Source organism: Homo sapiens, chromosome 10, assembly GCF_000001405.40.
Source record: "Homo sapiens chromosome 10, GRCh38.p14 Primary Assembly".
Classification (NCBI taxonomy): Eukaryota; Metazoa; Chordata; class Mammalia; order Primates; family Hominidae; genus Homo; species Homo sapiens.
In genome coordinates this window covers 121,287,842-121,313,109 of record NC_000010.11, presented here as the reverse complement: position 1 = coordinate 121,313,109, position 25,268 = coordinate 121,287,842, and the positions used below count along the sequence as shown (strand labels likewise).

At 42.5% G+C, this 25,268-nt stretch overlaps 1 long non-coding RNA gene across 3 annotated transcripts in view, besides 2 other annotated features; it reads left to right on the top strand.

The window, feature by feature from the left end:
• Window positions 1–25,268, top strand: part of LOC105378523 (uncharacterized) — a 129,587-nt gene that overhangs the window by 9,836 nt on the left and 94,483 nt on the right. For 2 of the 3 annotated variants that reach the window (XR_946380.3, XR_007062320.1), the window contains one exon: window positions 21,419–25,182. The exons of the other annotated variant lie outside the window; for it this stretch is intronic. This is a non-coding gene — a long non-coding RNA (uncharacterized LOC105378523). Of the gene's footprint in view, window positions 1–21,418; window positions 25,183–25,268 lie in introns of those variants that run through there. 3 annotated transcript variants of the gene reach the window in all.
• Window positions 8,828–9,028: a silencer, noted in NCBI's record as "peak1116 fragment used in MPRA reporter construct". NCBI's record gives its function as "represses an SCP1 promoter by STARR-seq MPRAs in K562 erythroleukemia cells {active_cell/tissue: K562}" and the evidence as "EXISTENCE:reporter gene assay evidence [ECO:0000049][PMID:32103011]".
• Window positions 22,958–23,918: an enhancer, noted in NCBI's record as "OCT4-NANOG hESC enhancer chr10:123048706-123049666 (GRCh37/hg19 assembly coordinates)". NCBI's record gives its function as "activates a minimal SCP1, AML or CMV promoter by ChIP-STARR-seq in naive H9 embryonic stem cells {active_cell/tissue: H9 hESC(naive)}" and the evidence as "EXISTENCE:reporter gene assay evidence [ECO:0000049][PMID:30033119]".

The window sequence follows — 25,268 nt, the reverse complement described above, 5'->3', positions numbered from 1 at the left end:
CAACATGGTAGTCAGGGAAGAATGGCACTTAGTCAATTAAATCATTAATGGATATTTGAAATGCCTTCATAATGGGGCGCCAATGCAGTCCACACATTAAAATAAAGGAGAAAACATCTTATCTCATTCCATGGTTCTTGTTGGGGCCAGAAGATTCTCCCTTGAACTTAACTCTGTTTATAGATGGCAAGGAGCGAGGTTTATTTGAACTGGTTTTGTTTTGAGTTTGTGTGGGTTTTTCCTCTCAGCTACAGAATGTGTTCTCTGAGTTTCTGCATCTCTGAGCCTGGTTTTTCCTTTCTGTAGCAGTGCCAGAGTTTATCACCGCTCACTTCTGGATCGTGTTAATGCTGCAGTCACTTCCTGTCTGCAAAACAATCATTACATTCACCAGAGTTCTGGGTGTTACAGGCCACGTGGGGGATTGTTACGCTGGGGGTTGTTACCTGAAATGGCTAAAAAAATGTTTGTAAAAACTTACAATAAGATGCTCACACTGTTTGGAGAGAAATATTGTTCTAAGTTAAAAACGTGCCCATCAAATAAATGGGAAGAATAAAGCAGACCTCTCAACACCAAATGGGGACGCTCGATTGTACCTAAGAGTGCAGTGTGGAGCCATCTCTCTCTGCCTCACTGCAGTGGGAATTAGCTTATAGATAGTGGGCGTGAAATAACAAAGTAAGTCAATTAACATAAAGCAATGGTTCTCATATTTTGGCAAACATCAGAATCACTGGGAGAATGTATTAAATCTTGCATTGAGCACCCAGTCTCCCCAGAGTTTCTGGTTCACTTGGGCATGGGTAGGATGGGCTCAGAGAATCTGCATGTCTAACAGCTTCCCAGGTGATGCTGCTGTCACTGCTGGTCCAGGGAGCACATTCTGAAAACCACTAATATTACATAAAAGGCACAAAGGGCCTTGTCAGTTGAGGTCAAAAGGGAAGGGGACTGAAATTCCATGCTGGACATAATCCTTCGATTCTCTTGTCCTGTTTGAAGGAGAAAATATCTTATGAAAGATAATTTTGTTGTTGTTTTAAACGTGAATGCAGACATTCCTGGCTTTGTGGAAGAGAACAAAGCGATCTCTATACAAATGAATCCTGTTTGCTTCCTGATCTTTGCTATACAGTCAGGGACGTATTCCCTTAAAGTGAAATTCCCTGGGAGAGCAAAACAGGAAAACTTAGGTAAGAAAGAGACTTAACGATGTTATGCTCATGGCAGTCTGGTGCAAGATCCCGGGGTTGGTGCATTATCTTCTTAATACTGTGACCTCTCCTTCCAGCCTCTTGATGCCTGTTTATTCTGCCTCAATGCTTGCCACTTCCCTTATCAATAGAAATTTCTCCTGTTTCTGTAGATTGATTCTTTATGACACATCATAGAATTTAACTCTTCACTTGTCTATGAGTTTGTGAATGCCTGACACTAGTAGACATTTAATGGATGACTTCATTTGTAGAAAGCAGCACCTCAGTCTTTTGCCACTCCTTGAGAATGCTTTAAATTTAAGTCCTCATATTATGTAAAGTAAATTAGTGCCCTGGGTTATCAATCCCCAAACATAAAATTGCCCAGAAAATGCATTTATGATCAAGGTGAAACTTGTGGCAATTTTCACTTGCCAGTGTTTTCAAGTAAGAACAAGTAAGAAAATCATGCAATGGTGAAACCAACAGATAATTGTACTGCTTAATTATCTTTTTTTTTTTGAGACGGAGTTTCGCTCTATCGCCCAGGCTGGAGTGCAGTGGCGTGATCTCAGCTCACCGCAACCTCTACCTCCCGGGTTCAAGTGATTCTCCTGCCTCAGCCTCCCGAGTAGCTGGGACTACAGGCGCGTGCCACCATGCCTGGCTAATTTTTTTTTTTTGTATTTTTAGTAGAGACGGGGTTTCGCCATGTTTGCCAGGATGGTCTCGATCTCCTGACCTCGTGATCTGCCCACCTCAACCTTCCAAAGTGCTGGGATTACAAGCATGAGCCACCACGCCTGGCCTTAATTATCTTTTTAAATTGATACTCAGGAGTTCTACTGGGAACAATTTGAAACAGGAGTTGTCTATGCTTCCAAAATTAAGTGGGGGGATGGGAGGGGAGGAGGGAGGGAGGGAGGGAGGGCACGCACTTATGAATTATTTCCTTGAAAAAGTTTGAAAGGAATTCGCAAAATATAAATGATTCATTATCTTAGTGATCCAAAACATGTCAGCAAGTGTGTCGGGAATACATATCATATTCTGAAGTTGTCATTAAATATTGGATTGAGCTATAGATAAAATCACGCGTCTCTGACTGAGGCTTAGCAATTGGAAAGGAGCAAGAGTCAGATATAGCTGAGGGTAACTTTTCCTGTGCAAGGCAGAAAAAAAAGGAAATTAAGTAAGGCTTTTCTGTCACTTCAGGGTTCCCTCTTTGGCCTGAAAGACTTATCAGCTGCTGGCACTTCTAAAGACTACAGCAATTGTCATTTTCCTCCCTCCGTTGTTATTTGCTTTTTTATCTCCTTTTCATCCCTGCCTCTTCTCTGCTCTGTCTCTTTTATAGAAGGGCTGCCATGAAGCTGGCCTCCTGGCTTTCCTCCCCTGTCCCTGCAGGGAGCCACATGTGACAATCCTCCCTCACTGCCCTATCCACCTGTTCTGAATAGTCTCACCCATAACGCCTTGGGCTCCCCGTGCTTCCTCGTAAATGTGCTCAAAAGGATAATTGTGGTTTCTCAGTTACAAGCTCGATATGAGGTGACAGTTTAGTGGTCAGTCCAGCTGTAATGGGAGTTAAAATTATCCACGCTTGTCTGCACTTGTGCTTACCCAACTGTACAGCTCTACCTTTTTCCGGCTGATTTAGCCTTCTGTCCCCTGTGGAGCGTACAGCCTGAATCCCTTGGCCTGCTCGGAAACTGGCTCCCTTTGCCTTTAGGAGTTTGTTAGGCCACAGGGATAATGAAGAGGTCTGGTGTGTTCAGATTTATGTCTTTGATGCATTGCAAGAAACCATTGTTTTTAATGTGACAAAATAACTACTTGTTCCCCTCGTAGGAGGAAAAGTATTTTTAAATTATATTCTCTTCTCTGAGTGAGTTCCTTCCCTATTTGACCTCCAAATTTTGCTCGAGGTAAAATTTCAATCTTTGAATAAACCTCGTTGTGTAATTATTATCTGGTTAAGAAGAACACAGGAAGAAATGGAAATATTATTAAGAGGTCTATGGATTCGTGAAGTTATTAGGAACTTTGTGGTTTCCAATACTGCCCTTCAGATTCCAAGAGTGATCATGCTTAGGCTCAAAGTACAGTACTGTCTCAAAGATTCTTCGAGGAGGAATATTTTCCTAAGTTAGAGAAGTGCAGACTTTAAGCAGCTTCAGTGTGTGCCGTCCAAATGGGTTCCCTTATCTTCCTCATTCATCTGTTCAACTGCACTTTTCTTCTGGAAATCCAATGTGAATTTTAATCAGGAAATGAGAAGCGGCACAGGGTGCAGTTTGTGGATTAAGCCACATTGACTCCCTGAGTAGGAGAAGCCTTAGTGATTTTGCAGAATGTATTTTCGCTATAGCTTTATTAGGGCTTTGTGTGTAATATCCTGGAATCTCTGGATGAACATAGCCCCGAATCCTTCCAAATGTTTTCCAAGGCAGCAATCCTCCAATATTTTCTCACTTTCTCAAGAAAAGAAGTCAAATTGCCTTGTGTGATATTCATTCAGTTAGTCATAAGACATACCATGTGTTCAACATTGTGCTAAGCAGTGAAGGTACAGGAATGAGTCAGACAGTTTCTACCTCCAAAAAATTTGCTTTCTAGTGTTCTGGGATGCAAGATGGAAGAGGATGTACAGGGAACGGTTGTCCCCTTCCAAAGAGGAAATGGACAAACCTAGTTTGAAATGGAAAAGTTGGGTTGGAAAATTTCCTAGAGAGGCTGATTATGTCATGAAAGATGAGACAAGGAGACAAGGAGTGGCTTGCCAGGTGAAGGGGCAGGATGAGCAAAAGCTTGGAGCCTGAAGTCACCTGGTGTGTGCAGGGAACAGCAGGGAACCTAAAATATTGGATCATGTGTCTATTTGGTGAAGGTGGCTGGAGAAGTAGTGGGGGGGTCAGAGAGTGGACAGCCTTGGATGCCATACTCATGAACATTTCTTACTCTGTAAGTTTGAGCTGCTGAAGTGGCAAACAATTATTTGTGCACTTAGTAGAAGAAGAAAGAAGATTTTCCTTTCAGTAGAGATCTTATATCCTCTTTCGCTCTAATGAAACACACAGTCTATTTTAGGTTAATCTATAAACTAGAGAAAACACAATCAAAGTCAGAATGCATTGCATCCCCCTCCTCCACACACACTGGAATTCCAAAAATAGAAGTTGCATTTCTGTCGGATTCTCTGTGCTTCCAACGCTGCCTGTGTCAGGAGTGAGAACTATGTAAAACTGAGAGCAGTGGCTGTAATTATAATGGAAGCTGATGCATCCTTCATGGGCTTGATCTCAACGTGCCTTGATGGGGCCGAAGCCAGTCTGTTTCTACGCATAGTTAGAGCCTGGCTCCAATTCTAGCAGATTTAATAGCTCTTCATTTATTTTTCCAGTCTTCAACAACATGCTTCTATATAATTGTCTTCACATCCCATTACCATTTTCTTGAATCTTCCCTGAAGAGGAAAACCAACACACCAACCCAACATTCTGGCTAAACATTGGCAGATGCCTTGTAAAGAAGTTTTATAAAACATACATTAAGCAATTCAGCTGAAAACCTGTTGTAACAAGCTATTTGATTTTAATGAACTATCCCCACTGAAGGGGTTTTGTCATATTTACACTAGGTCTTTCACTAACTAGTCTCTTTGTAAGTCCAAAAAAGAAAAAAAAAAGGCGAGTCACTGCCCAGGAGAAAGACAGAAACACAAAGGGCAACATTCCTTGCTTGAAGCTATGCACTGTATACACAGTAGATGAATGAAGAAAGGATATGTGAACCCTCAAGTCCAAACTCTCTGTCTGTCAAGAGTACTCTCATGTGGTTGAGGATTGGCCAGGCCATGGAACCCAACAAGAGATGCAACCACAAACAGCACTGATGCTTGCCTCATATTAGTGGTCTTTCGATATTGGTTTGATACTTTATCGTAATTCACTGTATATGAGAAAAATAGTCATTCAGAAGTTAAAAATCACGTTTTGAGTTTTTTCTTTGAGAAGGTAAGTGTCTCCCTGGAAGCAGTATTATTCCATCCATCACTCAGTTATTAGTCATTAGCAGCAGAATCAATGGTATAAACCTAGTGACTCAACACTCCTGGGGTTGAATTCAGCCCAGGGATGGGTTCATTACTTACATAAAAAGGCAATGGTTCTGGAATGGGCATTGGTCATGGTTCTTGTTATGTTTCCTATCAAGGTGTGTATCTTAGCAAGAGCTGACTCTCTTAGCAGGAGGCCATCAGTCTCTTTCTAGTTTATACAAGGAACAACATTCCAGGCACGCAGCCAGTTGAATAGGGGTCTGTGTTATACATGGTCTCAGCACCCAGGGAAGCATTTGTGTATGTAGATGTAAATTTCTGTACATATACACAAACTGTGCCTTGGCCTTAGTGCCCCTGAAAATAGACCCTTAGACAAAGATTTGTATGCAGATGGCTTATTGAAAAAGTGGTCCCAGGGAGCAGAAGGGAAGGATGGAGTGGAAAAGGGAAGGAGGGCAAGTCAGTAAAGAGATATATGTTACTGAGTTGATCACTGTGTAGTCAATGGTGACTGAGGCACCATCCTAAGGGGTTTCCTAAGGAGCCTTAGGAAGTGTGCTCAAAAATGTCTGCAGAAGCAATGTGGAGGGATGCATCGGCCTACCAGCTCCCCATCTGGCACTAGCCAAGGTGATCACATAGGCTGTAACTCACCTGCAGTTCCTGGATGTACATGCATGTGCTGGGTCCCACCCCAGGGCATCAGAGAAGGACCAAGGCAGAAAGAGGTATGAGGTTAGGGAATGATTAGGCACCATTAGGCTGCCCCTAAGTGCAAGTGGACTGCGCCTGCACTGAACTGATCATTGCAGAGGTACCTGGAGTAAGAGGTTGAACGAGAAGATTTCAAGAGGTTCGCACTCAGGAGGTGTCTGACACTTGCCGTAGTCTATCCAGTGCCTTCCAAGATGTGCAGTCACTGGGATTTGTGGTTGGTTAATGTCATCATTATATCCTGCCTTGGTCTAAGACTGCAAATTAATTGAAGAGAAACGCCCTGCCACCTCCCCTGGTCTGGGTGAGGCCTTTGTTTTCTGGCGAGATTCTGTTCTCTAAGGTTATAAGAGCTCTCTTAGAGATCTATCCGTAGTCTTGGCCTAAAATAGAAAAGATAATTTTTCCCCAATGCTTTTTAAAAATTGAAGTATAATTTACATTTAGTGAAATGCACAGATTCCAAGTATTTAGTTCTGTCCGTTTGGACAAATGCAGATACTCATGTAACCCACACCCCTGGTAAGATATAGAATATTTCCATCAGTCCAGGAAGTATCCCTGTACCTTTTCCCAGTCAACCCCACCACCCACTCTGGAAGCAGTCACTGCTTTGATTTCTATCATCATCTATTAATTTTCTCATGTGAAAAACTCCATATAGATGCAGCCATCTGGTATGGACTATTTTGTGTCTGGCTTCACTCAACATAATGTTTTCACTCAGTACTCAATATAATGTCTTGGGAATTCATCCATATTGCTGCATGTTTCTGCAATTTGAACCTTTTTATTGCCGTCTAGTATTCCATTGTATGAATCTACCACAATTTGTTTATCCTTTCTACTGTTAATTGACACTTGGGTGGCTTCCAGTTTGTAGCTGTATGAATAAAGTTGCTATGAACAAGTCTTTTTGTGGACGTGTGTTTTCATTTCTCTTGGATAAATACTTAGAAGACTTCTGGGTCATAGGATAGATGTCTATTTAACTATATAACAAAAGTGTTTGTAAGATTTGACACTCCTGCCAGCAACGAATGAGAGTTCTGATACCTCCCTATCTTTGCCAATATCTGGTATTACCAGTCTTTTCCATTTTAGCCATTACTGCTGATTGTGTAACAGTATGACATTGTCATTTTATTTTATATTTCCCTAATGACTAATGACAGTGAGTATTCCTTCATGTACTTATTGGCCATTTGAATATTTTCTTTGGTGAAAAACCTATTCAAATATTTTGCTTATTTTTTATCGGGCTGTTTGTCTTTTTATTACTGAGTTGTATGAATTCCTTACATATTCCAGAATCAAGTTCTTTATCAGATGTATATGTTGCAAATGTTCTCCTCCAGTCTGTGGCATGTCTATTCATTTTTTTAAAGCGGTGTTTATTGATAAGCAAAAATGTGAAATTTTGACTGTGTTCAATAATTGTGTTTTTCTCTGATGTGTATTGCTTTTCTGTGTCCTCTCTAAATGATATTTGCCTACTCCAGGGTCGTAAAGATGTATTCCTAATTTTTCTCGTAGGAGCTTTGTATTTTTATGAGGCATATGCTGGATTGTTTTAGATAGTCTATGCCAATTTATTTTATTTTATTTTTTTACCAAGAAAAGTTGGTAGTCACTACTTGTATTACTCATGAACACTGATGGAGACATTAACTCCCAGATTGATACATTATGGAGACCTCTGAAAATCCCAACTAAGTTCTTATATTTACATTAAGATCTGTCCCTGGATGGTGTATGAGTTGGCTTTAGGATGGGAGGGAAGGGATTCTGATATGTTCTTTGCATTTACATTTGGCGATGCTGTTTAATCCCAGTCCATATGTGCATGTCACCATATGTCGGGTCACTGTGCTGTGGAAACCTGACTTATGTTAAATGCCTGTGTTGACACTTCTTTTTCTAAATGAATGGGCTTTTTATTTAACTGGTGGTTGCTGACTTTGTGAGGGCTGCCAGGTCATTAAAATGATGTTTGTTTGAATTTGGCAGAATGAAAAATTGGAGTTATATTTACCTTTTTTGGTTCCCAAATCTGTTCTCACCACTCACCCTTAACAATACTCTTTTGATTTCATGAAGAAGCCTTTATACAAAAAAATGAAATGCAGCACAGGTTCGTGGTATGTTCTAGGCTTTGTTGGTGTGTTTGTCTCTCCATTCTCCAGCGCCTGCAAGTGAAGAAGGTAAAGAGGCCCTGGATTGAACAAAGAAATTAAGAACAAAAGTATGTTTTCTGGCATTGGGTATTAATTGTACAGATTGTCATTGAATACCAGCTGGTCATTAATTTATGCATGCAGGCAACAGCTTAACATTTGGGTCGTAAGGGAAAGATCACTTGAATCAAGAGGTTTGAGTTCTATTCTCAGTCCTGCCTCTTAATAGCACGATGATTTTTGGCACGTCATATGTCTTCTTTGAGTCTCAGTTTTCTTATCTGTGAGATGGAAACAATCATAGTAGTGTGATAGAGCAGGCTAAGCTATACCGCAGTAACCGATACAATTCCAGATCCTTGTGACTTAGTCACAAAGCGTCATCTTTTTTCCTTGAGAAAAATTTATTTATTTAATTCTTGAGCCACTCATGCTTGTGTTCTGCAAGATCCCTCTTCCATCTGGTGAGGACGATCAGAATCTAAGTCAGAGATCAAAGCTCTCTTTATCTTCTTGCCATCTCATCAAGGGGCTTCCAAAGTCACCCTAACAGAGAAACGGGAAGATAGAGGAAGTACGCTTCCAGTTATCTGCCTGGACTTGGAAGTGCCACTCACTATTGCTGTTCTTGTTCCGTATCCCGCAAGGGAGTCTGGGAAATGCAAGGGAGCCCGTGGGCTCTCTGGTGAGCACTTCCTGTCTCTGCCACGTGTGTCTCATGTATGTTCTGTGATACCCAAATGAGGTGACAGATTAGAGCACATTGTAAATAATTTATGAGAATTCTAACAGGATTATATTACTTTATATCCTATTCAAGATCTGAGCTCATTTAGATATGTTTGCTGGCATTTGTACACACTCACCATTTTTTATTGTTTCCCGGCTTTGAAGTAGAAGGAGCAACCTTTTTTTTCGGGGTCGGGGAGTACTGAGTCTTGCTCTGTCGCTCAGGCTGGAGTGCAGTGGCGCGATCTTGGCTCACTGCAACCTCCGCCTCCCGGGTTTACGCTATTCTCCCTCCTCAGCATCCCAAGTAACTGGGACTACAGGTGCCTGCCACCACGCCCGGCTAATTTTGTTTTTGTATTTTTAGTAGCGACGGGGTTTCACAGTGTTAGCCAGGATGGTCTCGATCTCCTGACCTTGTGATCCGCCAGCCTCGGCCTCCCAAAGTGCTGGGGAGCAGCCTTTTTTTAAGGCTCGGCAGATAGGTTCTTTACTCTTCATTCTTTTGCACCTAAACAGCATGTTAGACAACATTTGATTGGACCAACAGAGAACAAACAATTGGAACGAGTGGAAGATTTCAACACAAAAGAGTTTTAAAAGAAATGAAAGGGTCTATAGACATTTGAACTACTGCTAACAAGCCTTGCCAGTTCTGCTTTAAGGACGATTAAGATGCCTCCATAAGGAGCACTGTCGTTTGCATGTAAGCTGTGTGCTGAAGTCTCTCTTGAGTGGCTTAAGTGTGACTCCCAGCAATCTTGTTTGCATTATTGATTTGTTCAGTGAAACCACCACTCAAAGGGAGTACAAAGGTAGGCTTCAATGCAGCCCCAGCCAAATTATTATAATTCTGGAATGAATGGAATTTGAAATAATGAGGTTTAATTTTACTTTGCCCTGGAGGTTTCTATGTAGCATTGTGAGAGAAAAAAAAAATTTGTTTTATTTAAAAAACACACAACTTTCATTGTGTTCAAACGTGGAGTTCAAAAACAAGTCAATAAGACAGCCTCATGGTACAATGAGACTTGTTCTGTTGTTAATTTTACTGTTCAAGGCATTTAACGCAAAAGAGTTGGCTTTTTTTTCTCCCTCACTATTTGGCTCATTTAATTTTGAACTTGCTGCTTATAAACATAACCACAAAGTCACTGTCTTTGTTATTAATTTCTTGTTTGATTTTCTAAAGCTCTGAACCATGGAGTTTGTGTGCAGTGTGTATACTGGAAGTCTTTATGAGGCAGGGTGATTCATGTATTAGTGGGCATGAACATGTCCGTAACCCAGAGAAGCCTCCCTAGACCAGTTATAACTATTGCTCTTGTTTTCTTTTTACACCACATCTATACAAAACACGGCACACGGAACATGTGTTCCCAGATGTGGACAGTGAGGGGAATATGGGTGATCTTCCTGCCCCACTATCCATTTCTTCTTGGAGGTTAGGTGGCATCCTTCCTACCTTATGTATGGGCTTCGTGGGACTGTCAGTTGGGGGACCCTGCCCTCTCTTGGCCAAGATACGAGCACATAATAATTCTAACTCAGTCAGGATGATCTCTCCTGAGAATGTGCATATTGACTACAAGGTTGGAAGCTGTTTGAGTTGATTCTTTCTGACAGTTGCCCCCTAAAGAGGCAGTTGTTATTTTCTTCTACCTGGACTCCTGACGGTATTTTGATTCTTCCTTCTCGGATGCCTGGCATTTCACCCCTTTCTTCAATTCCATGTGTTCCCCCATATCTTCCCAATAACTTATCTTTTTGCTTAGATTACCTCTAGTTGGTCTCTATTACCTGTAAGCAAGAATCCTGTTTTAGTATATTTATTTGCATTTGCCTAAGAATTACAGAATTTCAGTTGGCTGGAAACTTAAACCCAAAATGCATTTGAAGTGAGATCTGACTGGTTGGTCAAGTTCTTTTACTGTATTATAATTTTGCATATTAAAAGTGGCCAAAAGAACCATTAACTGAAAATGGAAAATATTATCCCCCGGTTGTCATATTTAAAGTAGAAAGGATCCTCTTCATTGAAGATTTATGGACTCAACTACTTAATAGACATTGCCATGATCCTATCTCAGAGGCCTCAGACCCAAAATGCCCAAAACATGATTCTTAATTTTCCCCAAATTTGCTCCCTAGGGACTCAAACAGAGGCGAGTTCAGGGTAAGAAATAAGTCCTTGTTTTCAATCTGTTGCGACTTCTCACCTGGCATCCTTACAAGAAAGGTGACATCCAATAGAATAATTTAGGGCCATATTTTTTCTGAAAGCTTCTAAAAGTTTCTATCTATCAATAATTTTCTTCACTGTAATTGCATTATTAAATTTGGAAAAGAGGAAAAAATCATTCTTAATCCTAGCACCCAGAGATAGCTCCTGTTTTGGGGTGATTCCTTTCCATCCCAACTTTTCATTTTGCTTTTCACTTAACAGCGTAAACTAATCGGTCTCTGTTTGGCAATACAGTCTTCATAACCATCTTATAAAGAGCTGCATATTATTCTCTTAAGTGGCTGTTCTATATTTACTCAATCGTTTTTCTTCTGGACATTTAGACAGGTTTAGTAAATATAGAATACTCGGATTTTATACTTACACTTGCCCTGGTAGAAGAAAAATTTAGACAGAACTAAGACTTGCCATAGTGAGGGATTTACAAAGCATTTGCAGTTTGTTTTGGTTTTTTGGCTACTAGAGACAGGATTGCTCAGATACAAATGGTAATTACAAAATAAATATCTATACTCCCCAAATAGTGGGAAGCTTTTAAAATCCAAATTTGATGCTTACCCATGAACATTTGAAAAGATAATAGATTTCTTTGTGTGTGTTTCTCCTAGCCTCTAGGATTGGTAGGATTTTTATATCTTGTCTTTAATTTCTACCATTGGGTTTATTGGGTTTAAGTTTTGGATCTCAATCCCTTTGGATTTACTTCTGCTCCTTCCCCTCTATTTCAGCAGAAAGTGATTGTGTTTGGGTTTCCATTCTTGGAGGGCTATCCTTGGTCCGAACTGTTTTCATTTATTTTATTTAAAAATTACAAAGACATTTCTAGTTATATTTGGTTTTGCAATTCATTCCTCCCTCTGTTTTACAAAAACCATAAAACCCACATTGTCTAAAAATGCTGTGTTGAGCAAAATGGATTCAGTCGTCCTTGGAGAGCAGAAAAGGATGGAGCCAGTATGTGTTCTAAACATTTCCAGGGAGATTGTCTCTTTCCCAGAATTGGTTTTAGTCAAAGGCTGCTGACCAGTTGTGCGATTTCATTTGGGGTCGCTGACCCCGGGCCCTACTTGAACTTGACTCTGGATGTCATGCGGGCATCTGCCCTCCTCATGTCTGCACCCTCTCCCCTCTCAGCTCTGCACCCTCTACTCCTGCTGGTCTGGCCCCTGCTGTTATTTTTTAAGGACCCGAGCCATAAAAAAAACAACTCTTTGGATTTCTGAATGAACATTTTTAATGTTAAACTTGGTGGTTTCCTGTCACAAAAGCACAGACTCAGTGAATTCTGATTGCTCTGCAATGTGGATCTATCTTTTCCGGTTAGTTTAAACATCCTCATTCCCTTCTATTACAACATTTGATCTTCCATGTTCAGAATCTGCAAATTCTCCCAACAGTTTGTTTTCAGCAGATTATCACTGACTGGCCTTTTATTTTTCAATCTGAGGAAAACGAAGTGGAAAGTGTGGGTTTTCTGGGGGTTCCCCCCACGTCACCCATTTGCCTTCATATTTAATTGAGGACTGTTATAGACAGAGCTGAGTGAGACTTTCTCATGCAAGCTCTTGCTTCTGGTAGGCACTTGTGCTCTCAATGATGTTGGACAGAATCCTACTTTCACTGTGTTAAATTTACAGGTGTTACCATCTGGCCACAGGTCAATAGCAGTTGTAGTCCCAACCCAAGACTTAGGAGAGAATTTTTACAGAATTTGAGTCTTGCCCCCTCCACTTCACAATCCTCCTTGCTGTCTTCTACCTCACCTTCCCTGCCCAGAGTTAGGGATGGAGAAAGAGAAGGAGGAGAAACCTATAGGTGTATTGCTTACCACTGTGGTATTCATGGGTTGGAAACTATCCATGCCCAGCGGGCCCTTAGGTGACAATAGGGCATGCTACTCCTTTGGGAGACACTTTTGAAGACTGAGCACCAATTTTGTATCACCTGTAGTGCTTCTCACAGTGCTCTGGTGAATGTTTCCTAAGCCTGCCCTTTTCTGCTAACCCATGAACCAGTGGAGGATGGAGAGACATCTCTACCAGCAAATGTTTGCTGTGGGAATAAATATTTGTTGAGTCATCGCCGAGTATCTCCCACTCACCCTACACTAAAGAGGAAACGGGGCCTACCTGGTTTCCTTTGAGGAGCTTCCCGGACATTCCATGGGCCTTCCTTCCCAGCAGCCTCCAGTGTCATTTTCCTAGGGCGGCTGCAACACATCACACAAACTGGGTGGCTAAGACAATGGAAATTGATCCTTTCACAGTCCTGGAGGGCAGAAGTCTAACATGAAGGTGTTCTCAGGGCCACTCTCCTTGGGAAGGCTCTCAGGGAGTAGCCTCCCTTGCCTCTTTTGGCCTGTGGAGGCTCAAGTGTTCCTTGACTTGCACCTGCTTCACGCCAATCTCTGCCTCTGTCTTTACATGAACTTCTCCTCTTCTCTCCATTGTCTCCTCTTTTCTGTCTTATAAGGGCACCTGTCATTGGATTTAGGGCCCATCGGTATAATCCAGGATGATCTCATCTTGAAATTATTAACTTAATTATATCTGCAAAGACACTTTTCCCAATAGGGTCACATTTGCAGATTCTGGGGTTTGAGATGTGGATATATCTTTTTGGAGGCCACTATTCAGTCCTCTGCATCCCCCACGTGAGTTGTGCCGAGGGGCCTGAGTTTCAGAGGTTCACAGTCTCATCTGAAAGACCACACCCTTGGTTGGATTGGATTTGGGTTCCGCCAAGTAAACATTCAAGGACTAGGACTGTCTCATGATGCCTCCTCCAATTCCAACTACTCTTTCCTATTTGTGAAGAGGAGCTGTAAGACTTTGACTTTTCATCTGCCTTTGTTTCCAGTCAATGCCACTAGTTCTCATGTGGAGCCTCTTCCCCAAGAAACAGGGCCAACAAAGTCAAACATCTGAAGTAGCTGTTAATTACAAGTGAATATGCAACTGGAAAAAAATGCCTTCTTATTTAATAAGTCATTACTTAATAACGTGCTATTTATTTATGTATAGACGGTTTTGTAAAATCTCTTTTACTTTAGCCAGTATTTGAACTGGCCTAAACATTGATGCAAGAGTGTGATATCCTGCTCTTTTTCAAAGATAGTTTTTATATGTTTTATGTCAAATCAAGTCTCCTTCCGGAGTGAAATTCTAAATATACCACAGATACAAGGTGGGCAGTTTCTTTGGAGAAGCTATTATCTTTTGCTTATTTCCCTCATCACTTCAGTAATTTTTTTTGTTTGGCTTAAGTCAAGTCCCAGAAATACTGAATCAACCATTAAATGGGTTTTCAAGACTGGGTTCATGAAGAATTCCCTGGAGCTACCTGCTTCTTGCCCTAGAAATACATAAATTTGAGTCTACCATCTCATTCTCACTTAAAAATCTGGGCTTTTGTTCTTTAGACTGTAAAGGGAGAGGTGGAACTGATGAGAATTGTAGGATGGGGGTCCCAGCCTCTTTCCTCACTGACTAGTGACCTTAGATATGTCATTTCAACTGCTCTGGGCTTCAGCGTCCCCCTCTCGCATTGTTCTAAAACTGCCAACCTCCTCTAACTCTGAACAATCAAATGCTTCTTGTGACTCTAAGGTGCATTTCTAGCTCTAAAGCTGTTTCTATGATTGATATCTTGATCTCAACTGCTTACAAAACTAGTTTGGAGGTAGGAAATTGATAATCTGCAAAGTTACCCACCATTGTCCATGTATTCGGCCCTTCTCCAGAAGTGGAACTTGTTTTAGAGTGCAGTTTAGAGCTTCACGTGGCTTCAGTTGGGAAAAATCTTGGGTGTCCTTACCCAGATCTTAACTAATCTACTTCTTCATCTGGGTTTGTCATATATGAGATGGCTTCTCACAAACAGGAAGTTGTCTAAAACTTTAGTGGGAAGGCTGTATTAATCAGTATACTTCATGTTAGCTGCTTTGATAATAGTCCCCCAATTTAAGTGGTGTAACAATAACATTGTACAGCTTCCTCACACAAAGTCTAATGTAGATATTCCTGGTTGGTTGACTCTACTGGGGAGATTGCCTCTTTTCTGAGCTGTGCCCAGGCTTCCTCCATCCTTTGATTTCACCTCACAGCCCATGCCTATGGCCTGAAAGAGGGAAGTGGGGTGGGGAGTGAATAAAATGGCACTAAAATTCATGCGGTCTCAACCAAACTGCAAAGGATGTTGGGAATGCAGGCTTCCTGGGTGGCCAGGAAGAAGACGCAGGTTTGGTGAGCATGCCGTATTATCTCTGCCACAGAAACTCTGCCTCCTACTTTGAAGGCAGGAAGAGGTAGAGGCCAAATGATTATCTTTAGCCCTCGTGGTATAGCTGGATAGATTTCAGAATAAAATTTGTAATTTCCATAGTGCTCCTGAAGACATTGATCCAAGCTTGCCCTGTCATCATTCTATACCACAGTGACATTATTTAACCCAAGACTGTGGTTTTAGTCCTTAATTTGCATCAGGTGCTCCCAGTGCCTCATGGGAAATAAGTTGGGTGACTGACAGGCTCTGCTCACTGAGGGTTACACTTCCCTGTAAAGGGCAGCCAACCACATTGTAAGAGGACAGAAGGATAATAATTGTGAAAATGGTCAACAGCTATTAAGTGCCTACTATATACTTGGCACCACAGTAGGCATGCTTTAGACCAACCTTATTTAATCCTCTCATTTAGTCTTCAGGCTTCACTCTTACTGAGTAGCTTGGAAATGGACTATGCAGGCTGATTTCTAAGTGCTTTTGAGGAAAAGAGCAATTATAATTCCTTTAAATGCAATCTCTTTGAGAACAGCCATTATTTGGATGAATAAGTTCTGACAGGTTTGTGAAAACATTGCTCACATGATCATTGCATCCCATCTCAAGTGACTTGGTGGGGGCCGGGGGCTGGCCTGTCATCACTTCTGTGAGCAGATGGGACTGTCCATCTGCTCTACATTTTCATCGTTGCCTGCTCAGCTGGCAAGTTTGCAGGCAGAACATTGTGGGATGGCCCTGCCTACCTAAGTGGACAGAACTGCCTGTCAAAAATAGAGGATCTCAGGATTCTCTTGGGAGCTTCATATTTTAGGGAGCTGTGCTTTGGGGGACCCTGCAGTGGCTGGGAAGGGTGGTATTAATGGGCTGGATGCTTTCATAGATGAAATTAACACCTCTAAATACCTTTCCTTCTCCTAGAAGAAGGTCTGGCTGGGTCTGAAGCTTCTCCAACAACAATGTGGACTCCATGTTCATTTTATTCAGATTTATCCTACATAAATGTGTGTGGTTGGGAGAATGTCCTGAATCCTTCCTTCTGCCCTGCGCAGCTCTAGAAATGGCCCAGGGAATTTTGTGGGGCTGCAGTGGATTGGAGTTAGAGGGCATCAGCTGTTGGAATGGACACCTAGTCTTTAGATAATGGGCACCTCTAGTGCAAACAGTGTCCTTATTTGGGGTGAGCACTCAAAAATAATTTTAGAACAGCTCTCAACCAGAACTTTATGCCACCAAGATAAGGGGAGATATTTCCTCGTATCTGAGAGCCCTGCCTCCATGATAACAAAAGCCCTAGGATTTAGAGTTGAGGTCAGAATCTGGGCTAATAGCTTTATTAATTACAACTTCTCAGTAAGTCATTAGGATTTCAGATGAAAATGGGCTAAAGCAAAAAGTATTTAAGATGTACAGTCATGGCTTTTAGTTTCTGAAAAATAGATTAAAAATTTCTTGGTTCCATTCAGTTGTTCAAGGAGGGGAGGGGAAAGGCAGTATGGCAAATGCTTTCAGGTCTTTGTAGGAGGATACGCCAGATTTGAGCCCGTGCACCAGACTGCATGCGTACATATTCTCCCAGGGCTTTTTGCTCAGCTCCATGAATGTTACTACAGTGGCTTTATGGTTCAGCCTTGGAAATGGAGCTGCCAAAGGAGACAAACTCCATTTTCTATCCATTCACAAAGGAGCCAAGCTGCTGGGTTGGGTGTTTTGAGGAGCCAGTCAATCCCAACGAGACAAGATTAAAGAAACGCCATAGCAATTGACATTCACTCCTTCTTAAAGAAGGAAGTTGGTGGGCCACCGTTTTACTTTTTAGGGACATAAACTCTGTGAGAGTGACATAAACCCTTCTCTCTGTTTTCTGATCATCATCCAGGTTCTGTCCTTGGTCTTAGCCTCACATTCTTCTGCTCTGACACCACCAGGGCCAATTTCCCTGCCCCCAATATATGTTTTGGGCCTGATGTTTGTAGGATAATCAAATAGAGCCATGAAACAATAATAAAGCGTGTCAGTAAGGTTGTTTGACTTGAAAGTCTTTTGCTAAATAGCCATGGTAGCCATAAACTGCTGGAGGTAGGCTAATGAGGATCATAAAATTTATTATTGAAAGTATCTATTATCTTCCCAAGAAATGCCCTCTCTTTATCATGGTCGTGCTGATTACATTTCCATGGTTAAAATTTCATTATGGCCTGTGTTTTGCTCAAGGTCCCACAACTCGCCCAGAGCCGAAGCCTGTCAGCTGGGAGCTCCTTTAGGGAATTTGATTTTATTAATACTTTACGGGTAGTGGCCTTTAATTAATGTTAAATGAAAACGGGATTCTAAAAGCATCGCAGAGGACTTTTCACTTGGGTGTCAAAATAATTTACAGTGATTAACAAGCTTTAAATCACCATTACTAGAGATGGTTTGAATTCCATTTTGATCATGAGGCACTGACTACAATATGTTTACAATTTTTTAAGAAATGAGAAACGTAGCACTGTGCTGAACACCCTTGACTTAGAGACACTGTGAGGGGTGGCTGTTAGAACAAGAGCTGTGTTGGTGGCCGCGTCTGTGTCATTATGGGATGCCTGATTAGGCTTTATTTATCCATCCCTTTTTTCCTTCTATCCACCCTGTTCAACACACACACACACACACACACACACACACACACACACACACTACACACACCCCTACTCTGGAGAAAGGTGGAGTAGAAACAAACAAAAGCTATTTAGAGGCATCATCTCATCTAGTTCTCACAATAACTCTGTGATGTAGGTCTTATTATTCTCCTTTTATAGACAAGGAAAGTAAGGCTTACAGTGGTTAGTGACTTGCCCAAGATCCTCAGCTGGTAAGTGTCAGAGAGGAATTTAAACAGGGGCTTGCTAGTATCCAGACCCAGTGTCTTGTATTGTTTTTCATGGATTAGCAGATGAAATTTCAAAACCCTGCTTTCCTGATAACAAGGCTCACAGTGGCCTGAGATTCAAGGCAGGTCTCCACCTCCATGAGGAACTAGAGGCAGGTCAAGAGATTAGGGGAGACGTCCCGTGAAACGTATTGGGCAAGCCCAATGGAGAGAGAATCTACATCACCGTGGCCACTGTGGCACCCCAGCAGCCGGGCACCCCTCCCTCTCCAGTACCCACAGGCTATTGGCTCTAGGAGGCAATGCTAACTGTTGGTGGTGGACTTTTACAAATAAAGACAGAAGTCCTGATTCCACCAAGTCAGGACTGGATAATCTGTTGTAAAACGATGATTTCTTAACATTCTTCAGCATGGCCACTCTAATGTTCTCCTTTCTATATTGTCAGATAACACATTTTAAATTGCCCTAAAGTATCAGATAGAAGAGGAGACGCGAATCAGTTCTGGCTTATCCTTTCCTGGATGTGCCGTGCCAAATTTTCGCCCAGCCTGCTTGGCTCCTTGCCCTGACCCTCTCCCTGGGGTGTATGGTCCCCTCCAGCCTTCACTGCAATTCTTTTCTCTCTGAGGGATGTAGATCTCTTCACTGAAGACCTGAGCTCAAGCATAACTAGGACACTAAATAACAGGAAAGCAACACCAGCCACATTTTTTAGGCAGCTTCTAGGTGCCAGGCACACTGCTAAGTGCTGCAGGTTCATTACCTTACTTATTCTTCATGGTAGCCTGTTTCTCCTATGTCTGTTTCTCCTGCTAAAAGCATGCAAAGGCATCTATGGCTACAGCCCCCCTACCCTACTTAGGTGATCATGAGTTTTTAATGATCTTCGTTCCTTCTCTCCAAGATTCTAGAGCCTAGAGAGGTGGATGACAAGAACAATGAGGCTAACGTAACTGGGTTTCTCTGTGGGCCAGGTCTGTAGGTAGATGCGTCCTGTCCTTCCTACCTGGTCCCCAGCATCCCCACTGCTGCAGAAGACAGGGTGGTATACCAGAGAAATTGACATTGCCAGAGCAATTGATGGTGTTGCCCCATCTCACTCTGTGACGGAACTGGGGCTCTCATCACAGTTGTCATTTCACATCCCTTTGTGTGATTATTGGATGAATGTCTGCCTCCTCCCGCAACTGTGACTATAGGATCCAGAAGGACAGGGACCTTCCTCTTGGTTTGTGGATGTGCTCCCAGAGCCTGGGGACATCTGTGGCTTTTGGCTAGCCCTCAGGGGTAGCTTGCTGAGTGCATGCATGTGTGAGTGAAGGAGTGAACGATGGGGTGGTCCCTGGTGGTAGCTGTGGTTGGGCTCTGGGCGGATTCTTTCTGGGCACCTCTCGGGTGCTACATGAGGTCAGCTAATGTCATCTCATTCCCATGCCTGTTCTTTCTAAGACAACTCAGTTATCTGCAGAGAGTAATGCAAAGAGATTACGGGGCTTTGGGTTTGCGGCAGACTGACCACAACTTGCAGCCACAGCGTATCTCCCAGGACATAGGAGCTGCAGAACTCCAGAGCTGAGTAAAGTAAACGTCTCCATAGAAACTGTCTGCTTAATTGGTTGAACTTTATGATGGGTGCTCCTGGAGAGGCCTTGTGATCACAAACTGTATTCTCTCAGGTCCTGGGATCTGGGGGTCGGCCGTAATGGCTTGCTCTGTGATATTCCCAGCCCCTTGCCACGCAAAGCACACACCTCCCTCTGCCTGTTTGTGTGCAAGTGTGTGCATCAGTGGGCATGTGTGTGCATCTGTGTGTATGTCTGTGTGTGATTGAATATGAACCTGTGCCTATGTGTGTGAGCATGACTGGGGAAATGTATGTATCAGTGTGCACACAAGTGTCTGCGTGTGCATGTTTGGTGTGGCTATATGTGTCTTTATGGGTGGGTGAGTGTGTGTCTCTCTGCATGGGTGAATGTTTCTTTGTGGGTGTACACATAACTGTGCATGTGTATTTGTTGAAGTATATGTATCAGTGTGTGCACGTGTGTCTTTGTGTGCCTGTATATGTGTCTGGATGCGCATGGGTGAGTGTGTATGTTTGAGGGAGCCTGTACACGTGTGTGCCTGTGTATGTGAGCATGTGTGTTTGTGTGTGCTCGTGTGACCCTATCCCCTGCCCCCACCGCCGGGGAGGGGAGAGAGGCCAGTCTCTGCTCCCCATCTCTCCACATGTTGATATTATCGCCTCAGCTTCCCAAGTCTGGCAGGAGATGCAGAATTAAACACAGACGCTCTGGTGCCAAAACAAAATTGTGAAAGATTTGAAGCCCCCATTCCCTAAACTTGCAGCCTATCAAACTGGGAACAAGCCCGGCTTTGTTTTATTTCCTGCATGGAACGGGGGTAGCACAGTCTGGAGCCACATTGGTTCTGATAGAGGAGCTGACTCCAAGCCAGGGAATTTAAAATTGCTGAAACCCAAAGCAGAATGGAGACAGCAAGATGCGATGGACAGAGAAGAAAGCATCTGTGAGGGGGAGAAGAGACACCCGAGTTAGGAAGGAGGAGGAGGTGGCAGCCCAATTTCTGAGAAATAAAGGCGTACAAAGAAAACAAAAAAAAGGGGGTCCGAGGAAAGGAGCCAGGCAGAGGTGGACACTGACCCGAATGCAGAACCAGCTTGGTGGGTGGTGAGCACAAATGAACAGAGGTAGAGGAATGGGGTCGGATGAAAAGTGTTCTTATATCCAACCCTTAATTTCGTGGCTGGGGAAATGAAAACCAAGCCGGGAAGCCACTTCCCCAAATCACAGGGGGATCTGGGCCCAGCAGCCCCGTGCTTCAGTCTTGCACTGTCAGGCCAGTTCTCCCCTGCACATTGAAGCCACTTGCGGGAGGAGATGACTGGCTTCTCCTGGGTTTCCACGTGTGTCCTGGTGCCTTGCTGTCTCATTACTTCACCTTTTGCAAACAAGTTTTCCTCTTTTCTTTGGAGCCTCTGCTCTTGTATTGGCCTTCCCTGAGTTTTCTGGTTTCATTTTAATAGTAGTGTTGGGCATGGTGATGTCAACCAAGTTATGTATTCACTGATTTTGACTAGAGTTTCTTTTATTTTTTTCTCCCCGTTTGTCCACCCAGAGGCAGTTGATGACAATAGTTCTCCAAACCTGCTGATCCCAAGGTGGCAGGTTTCCCGGTCAGCTGTGGCTCTGAAGTAGGAGGGGTTTGCAGGAGTATCACACACAGCTGTAGAAGGAACAGAATCAGAGCTGGAGAGGGAGAATTGCTCCATGGCCATGAGTGGGTGTCCTCTCAAGCGGAGCCCCGAGTCCAGTAGAACTTGAGGCTTTTCGCCAACCCACGAAGTGCAGATGGTAACGCTTGCTGTTGTGTCCCTGAGACTATATAGGGCCTAGTGTCTGGTTTATGCCCTTGCACTGGGTCACTCTCACCCTGGAATCACCCGGCTGGGGACTGAACCTCTCCTGCCACCACTCCAACTCCTCCTGAGACACTCACCTCCTAAGACACTCACCTCCTGGAAAGGCCACATCTGTTTGCCAAGGACAGAGGCACCTTCTTTGGTCCAGAGAGCTGCAGGCTGTGGTTTATTTCGCTGGCGACCTCTTCATCACCAGGACTGTTCCATAGAGTGCTGTGGTACCCGTGAAAGCCAAACTTCTAAGCTTCTCAAGTTCAAATGATAACTTCTCTCTGTTACCTTTTGTCAAGAAAACTTTGGATTATGAATCTCCGTTATGGGGGCTCATAAAATGAATTGGGGTGCATTCATAGAGTTGGAACACTCTGGAGCCACTGAAAAGAATGCGGCAAAGCTGTAAAAAGGAAAGATGTCTGTGATATCATCTATATTCTTTTATGTTGTTAAGTGACAAAATCCAGCTGTAGAGGAGCATGAATTGTTTTATTCCATGTTTATTACATAATGAGTGTAGTGTCGGGAAAGCCATATACCAAATTGTTCACAATGGTTATCTTGGGGGAGTGGAGCTTGGGAACTTGTACTCTTTGCTTGATGCATCTCTGCTTTGTCTCTCTCTTGAATCAGCATGAATAATTTTTTAAAATTAGAAAACCTTCTTATTAATATGGAGGTAAATATTGGGGCAGTCCAAGATGGCAGCGGTCTCACGGTGAGGCCCTTGTTTTATGGGAAGAACATGAAGGTAGGAGTTTAAGAAACCCGATTTTTCTCTTAACCAGGGGTTTTTCCTAATTTTTTGTGCCATGATCCCTCAGGACAGTGTGATGAAGTTTTTGGCTCCCTTCTCAGAACAATGCCTTAGGGGCATAACGTGAAATACGTAGAATTACAAAAGAAGCCAAATATATTGAAATATAGTTATCAAAATACTTTTTAAAAATTTTATGATATAGTAATATATGTGTATTAAAATATAAGATCTGGCTGCAGGTCTAATAACGATTTAATTTAAAACTAGCCATGAGCATAAGTGATATTTTGAGAAATCTGCAACAGCTGAATATTGCATGAAAATGTCTGTGACTTCTGGTGACAAAGTCAGATGTGCTAGTGCTACTGTGGTTTGTCACCTTCTTCATAAATGAAGAAAATGCTAGATTGTAGTTAGAGGTAGTGAAAATAAAGACGTAATTTCCCATCCAATATCATAGATCCCTGTTTAAATTTCCCAGCCTAACATCTAATGTTCTTAACTGGCTGGGAAGTGTTGAATAATATTGTTCCCGCCCTCACAGTCTCAACTGTTTCATCAGTAAAATGAGGGGCTAAGTGATGGCAAATGTGTATGATCTTACATGTCAACTGTGATTGATTGGTAGTGACTTGGTGAGGCATTTTGAGATCACCTCTGAGTTCAATTGGAAAGGATGCCAATTGGAAAGGATGAATGATTGGTGATGTCTGCCATGGGTACTAGATGGGGGAGAGAGCAAAGCGTGCATGGCGTACATGTCCATTCCTTGACTAGATGAGCCTGTGGCCCCTTCCACCTCTGATATTCTACTATGTATGAAAGTAATTATTCTCTTCTGATTCTAATTTAACATATCTCCTGTCCAACAACAAGAGCAACAACACAAGCATTGGTTAGCCCTTCCTGGGGGCTTTGTGTGTGTGTGGCATTGGCACTACCAACTCTACCCCTGTGGACCAAGTCTTCTGATAGACTTTTTATTAAGTAAAATTGTAAGCATTACCTCCAGTTTCAATGATAGAATGGTTACTGGGAACAGATTGTCTAGGAAGAAAACACAAATTAGTAAACACAGTCTTACAAATGAGCCATCTGGAGATTTATTTACATAAGAAAAGAGGAAGGACTTGGTATTTTCATGCTGGGGTTTGTTTCTCTTGCAAGTAGCCACAGGGGTGTATTTATCACGAGCACACATTGAGCTTTTTAGTGAAGATCACTGAAAGCATGAAAAAAAAATGCGCATTTGGTTGGTTATTTGGGAAATGGGAAGGAAGAGAAGGGAGAGAGTAAGAGAGTCACACATACACATATGCACACAAAGTTTTTGAATGAATTTTAGCATATAAGATTTCAAAATAGTTACAATATTTCACACCGTGCTTTTGAAATTTTATATTATTCCCAAAGTGCTAAATGAGAAACATTTTTCTAAAACAATATCAAAGGTGGAGGCATTCAGCTATCACGCAAATATAGAGGGGCCACGAATAATGCTGAGGGGACCAAAACCTTGACACCAGTTGACCAGCAGTGGGAACAGTGATCCCTTGACCTCAGAGAGCTCCCTGGGTGTCAGACCAGCTCTGCAGAACCACTTAACCCCTCCTGCACCTTGTCCTTTTATCCACTAATACTAAATGCCAAAAACTAAAAAACCCAAATTTGTGATACAGTGATATATGTGCTCTTTCAATGCATTAAAATACAAGATCTAGCTGTAGGTCTGATAACTACTATCATTTAGAATTAGCAACGAGCCTAAGTGTTATTTTGAGAAATCTGCAACAACTGAATGTTACGTGAAAACATCTGTGGTTTCTACTGGTAATAGAGTCAGATATGCTACTGATGTGCACAGATATGCTATTGCACTGTGCACTTACTGTGGATCAGTGAAACAACATATCTGTAAGTGCACAGTGAAATAGTTCTCCCTTCTTAGGAATTTCGGCTACATAACCTCTCTGGCTTTACGCTCGTACCAAGCCACCAGGAGTATTCATCAGAGCAAAGAAAGGAAGATAGCACAGAGAAGATAAAAGAGGGACAAGGAGGATCCCATAGGTGAATGAACTCACCAAGCCCACTCTTTTCCCTCTACCCCTGCGTTAGATGAAACCACACAGGTTCAAGTTGCATTGCCTGCCGCACCTGCAAAGGGACAGCCTGGGTAAAAATAGCCCCACTATATCTGGGCAAGCACTCTTTGGCCAATAAAATACTAATAATAAGACAACAGTTGGACTGACTTTACAGAAAGATAGCTTTCTGCTTCTGGACTGGGCTGGGTTGTAAAGTATCTTACATGATTGCTCTGGAAATTGTATAGCTCAGGGCAGCAAATCTTTATAGGGGCAAGAAGAGGCAAGACAGAAAGGGCTGAGCAGGTCTACTGCCTCAGGGCTCCTGAAGTCAGAAACCGCTGCAAAGAGGACAGGAAGTGAAGTTGGAAGTTTGAAGAGTGAATGTAGCTGGAAGGCAGTCAGCAATTCAGAGCCATCAGCATGGAAGATAATTACCTGCTGACAGGTCTCTGATGTGTACCTGGATGGGTGTGTGTGTGTATGTGTGTGTGTGTGCATGCACACATGTGCAAGCTCTGGTTAACTGTGTCTCTGCAGGCAACTTAAGAGCATATTCCACACCCTGTATCTGGGCAAGAGGCAGGAGGGCTCATAAATAAAGATCCAGAACCCTAAATCATTGTATTGTGAACAAATCTTCAAAACTTGAAAATGTGGAAGAGTAAAAAAAAAAGGTGAAATATGGGAAATGTTTGGAACAGA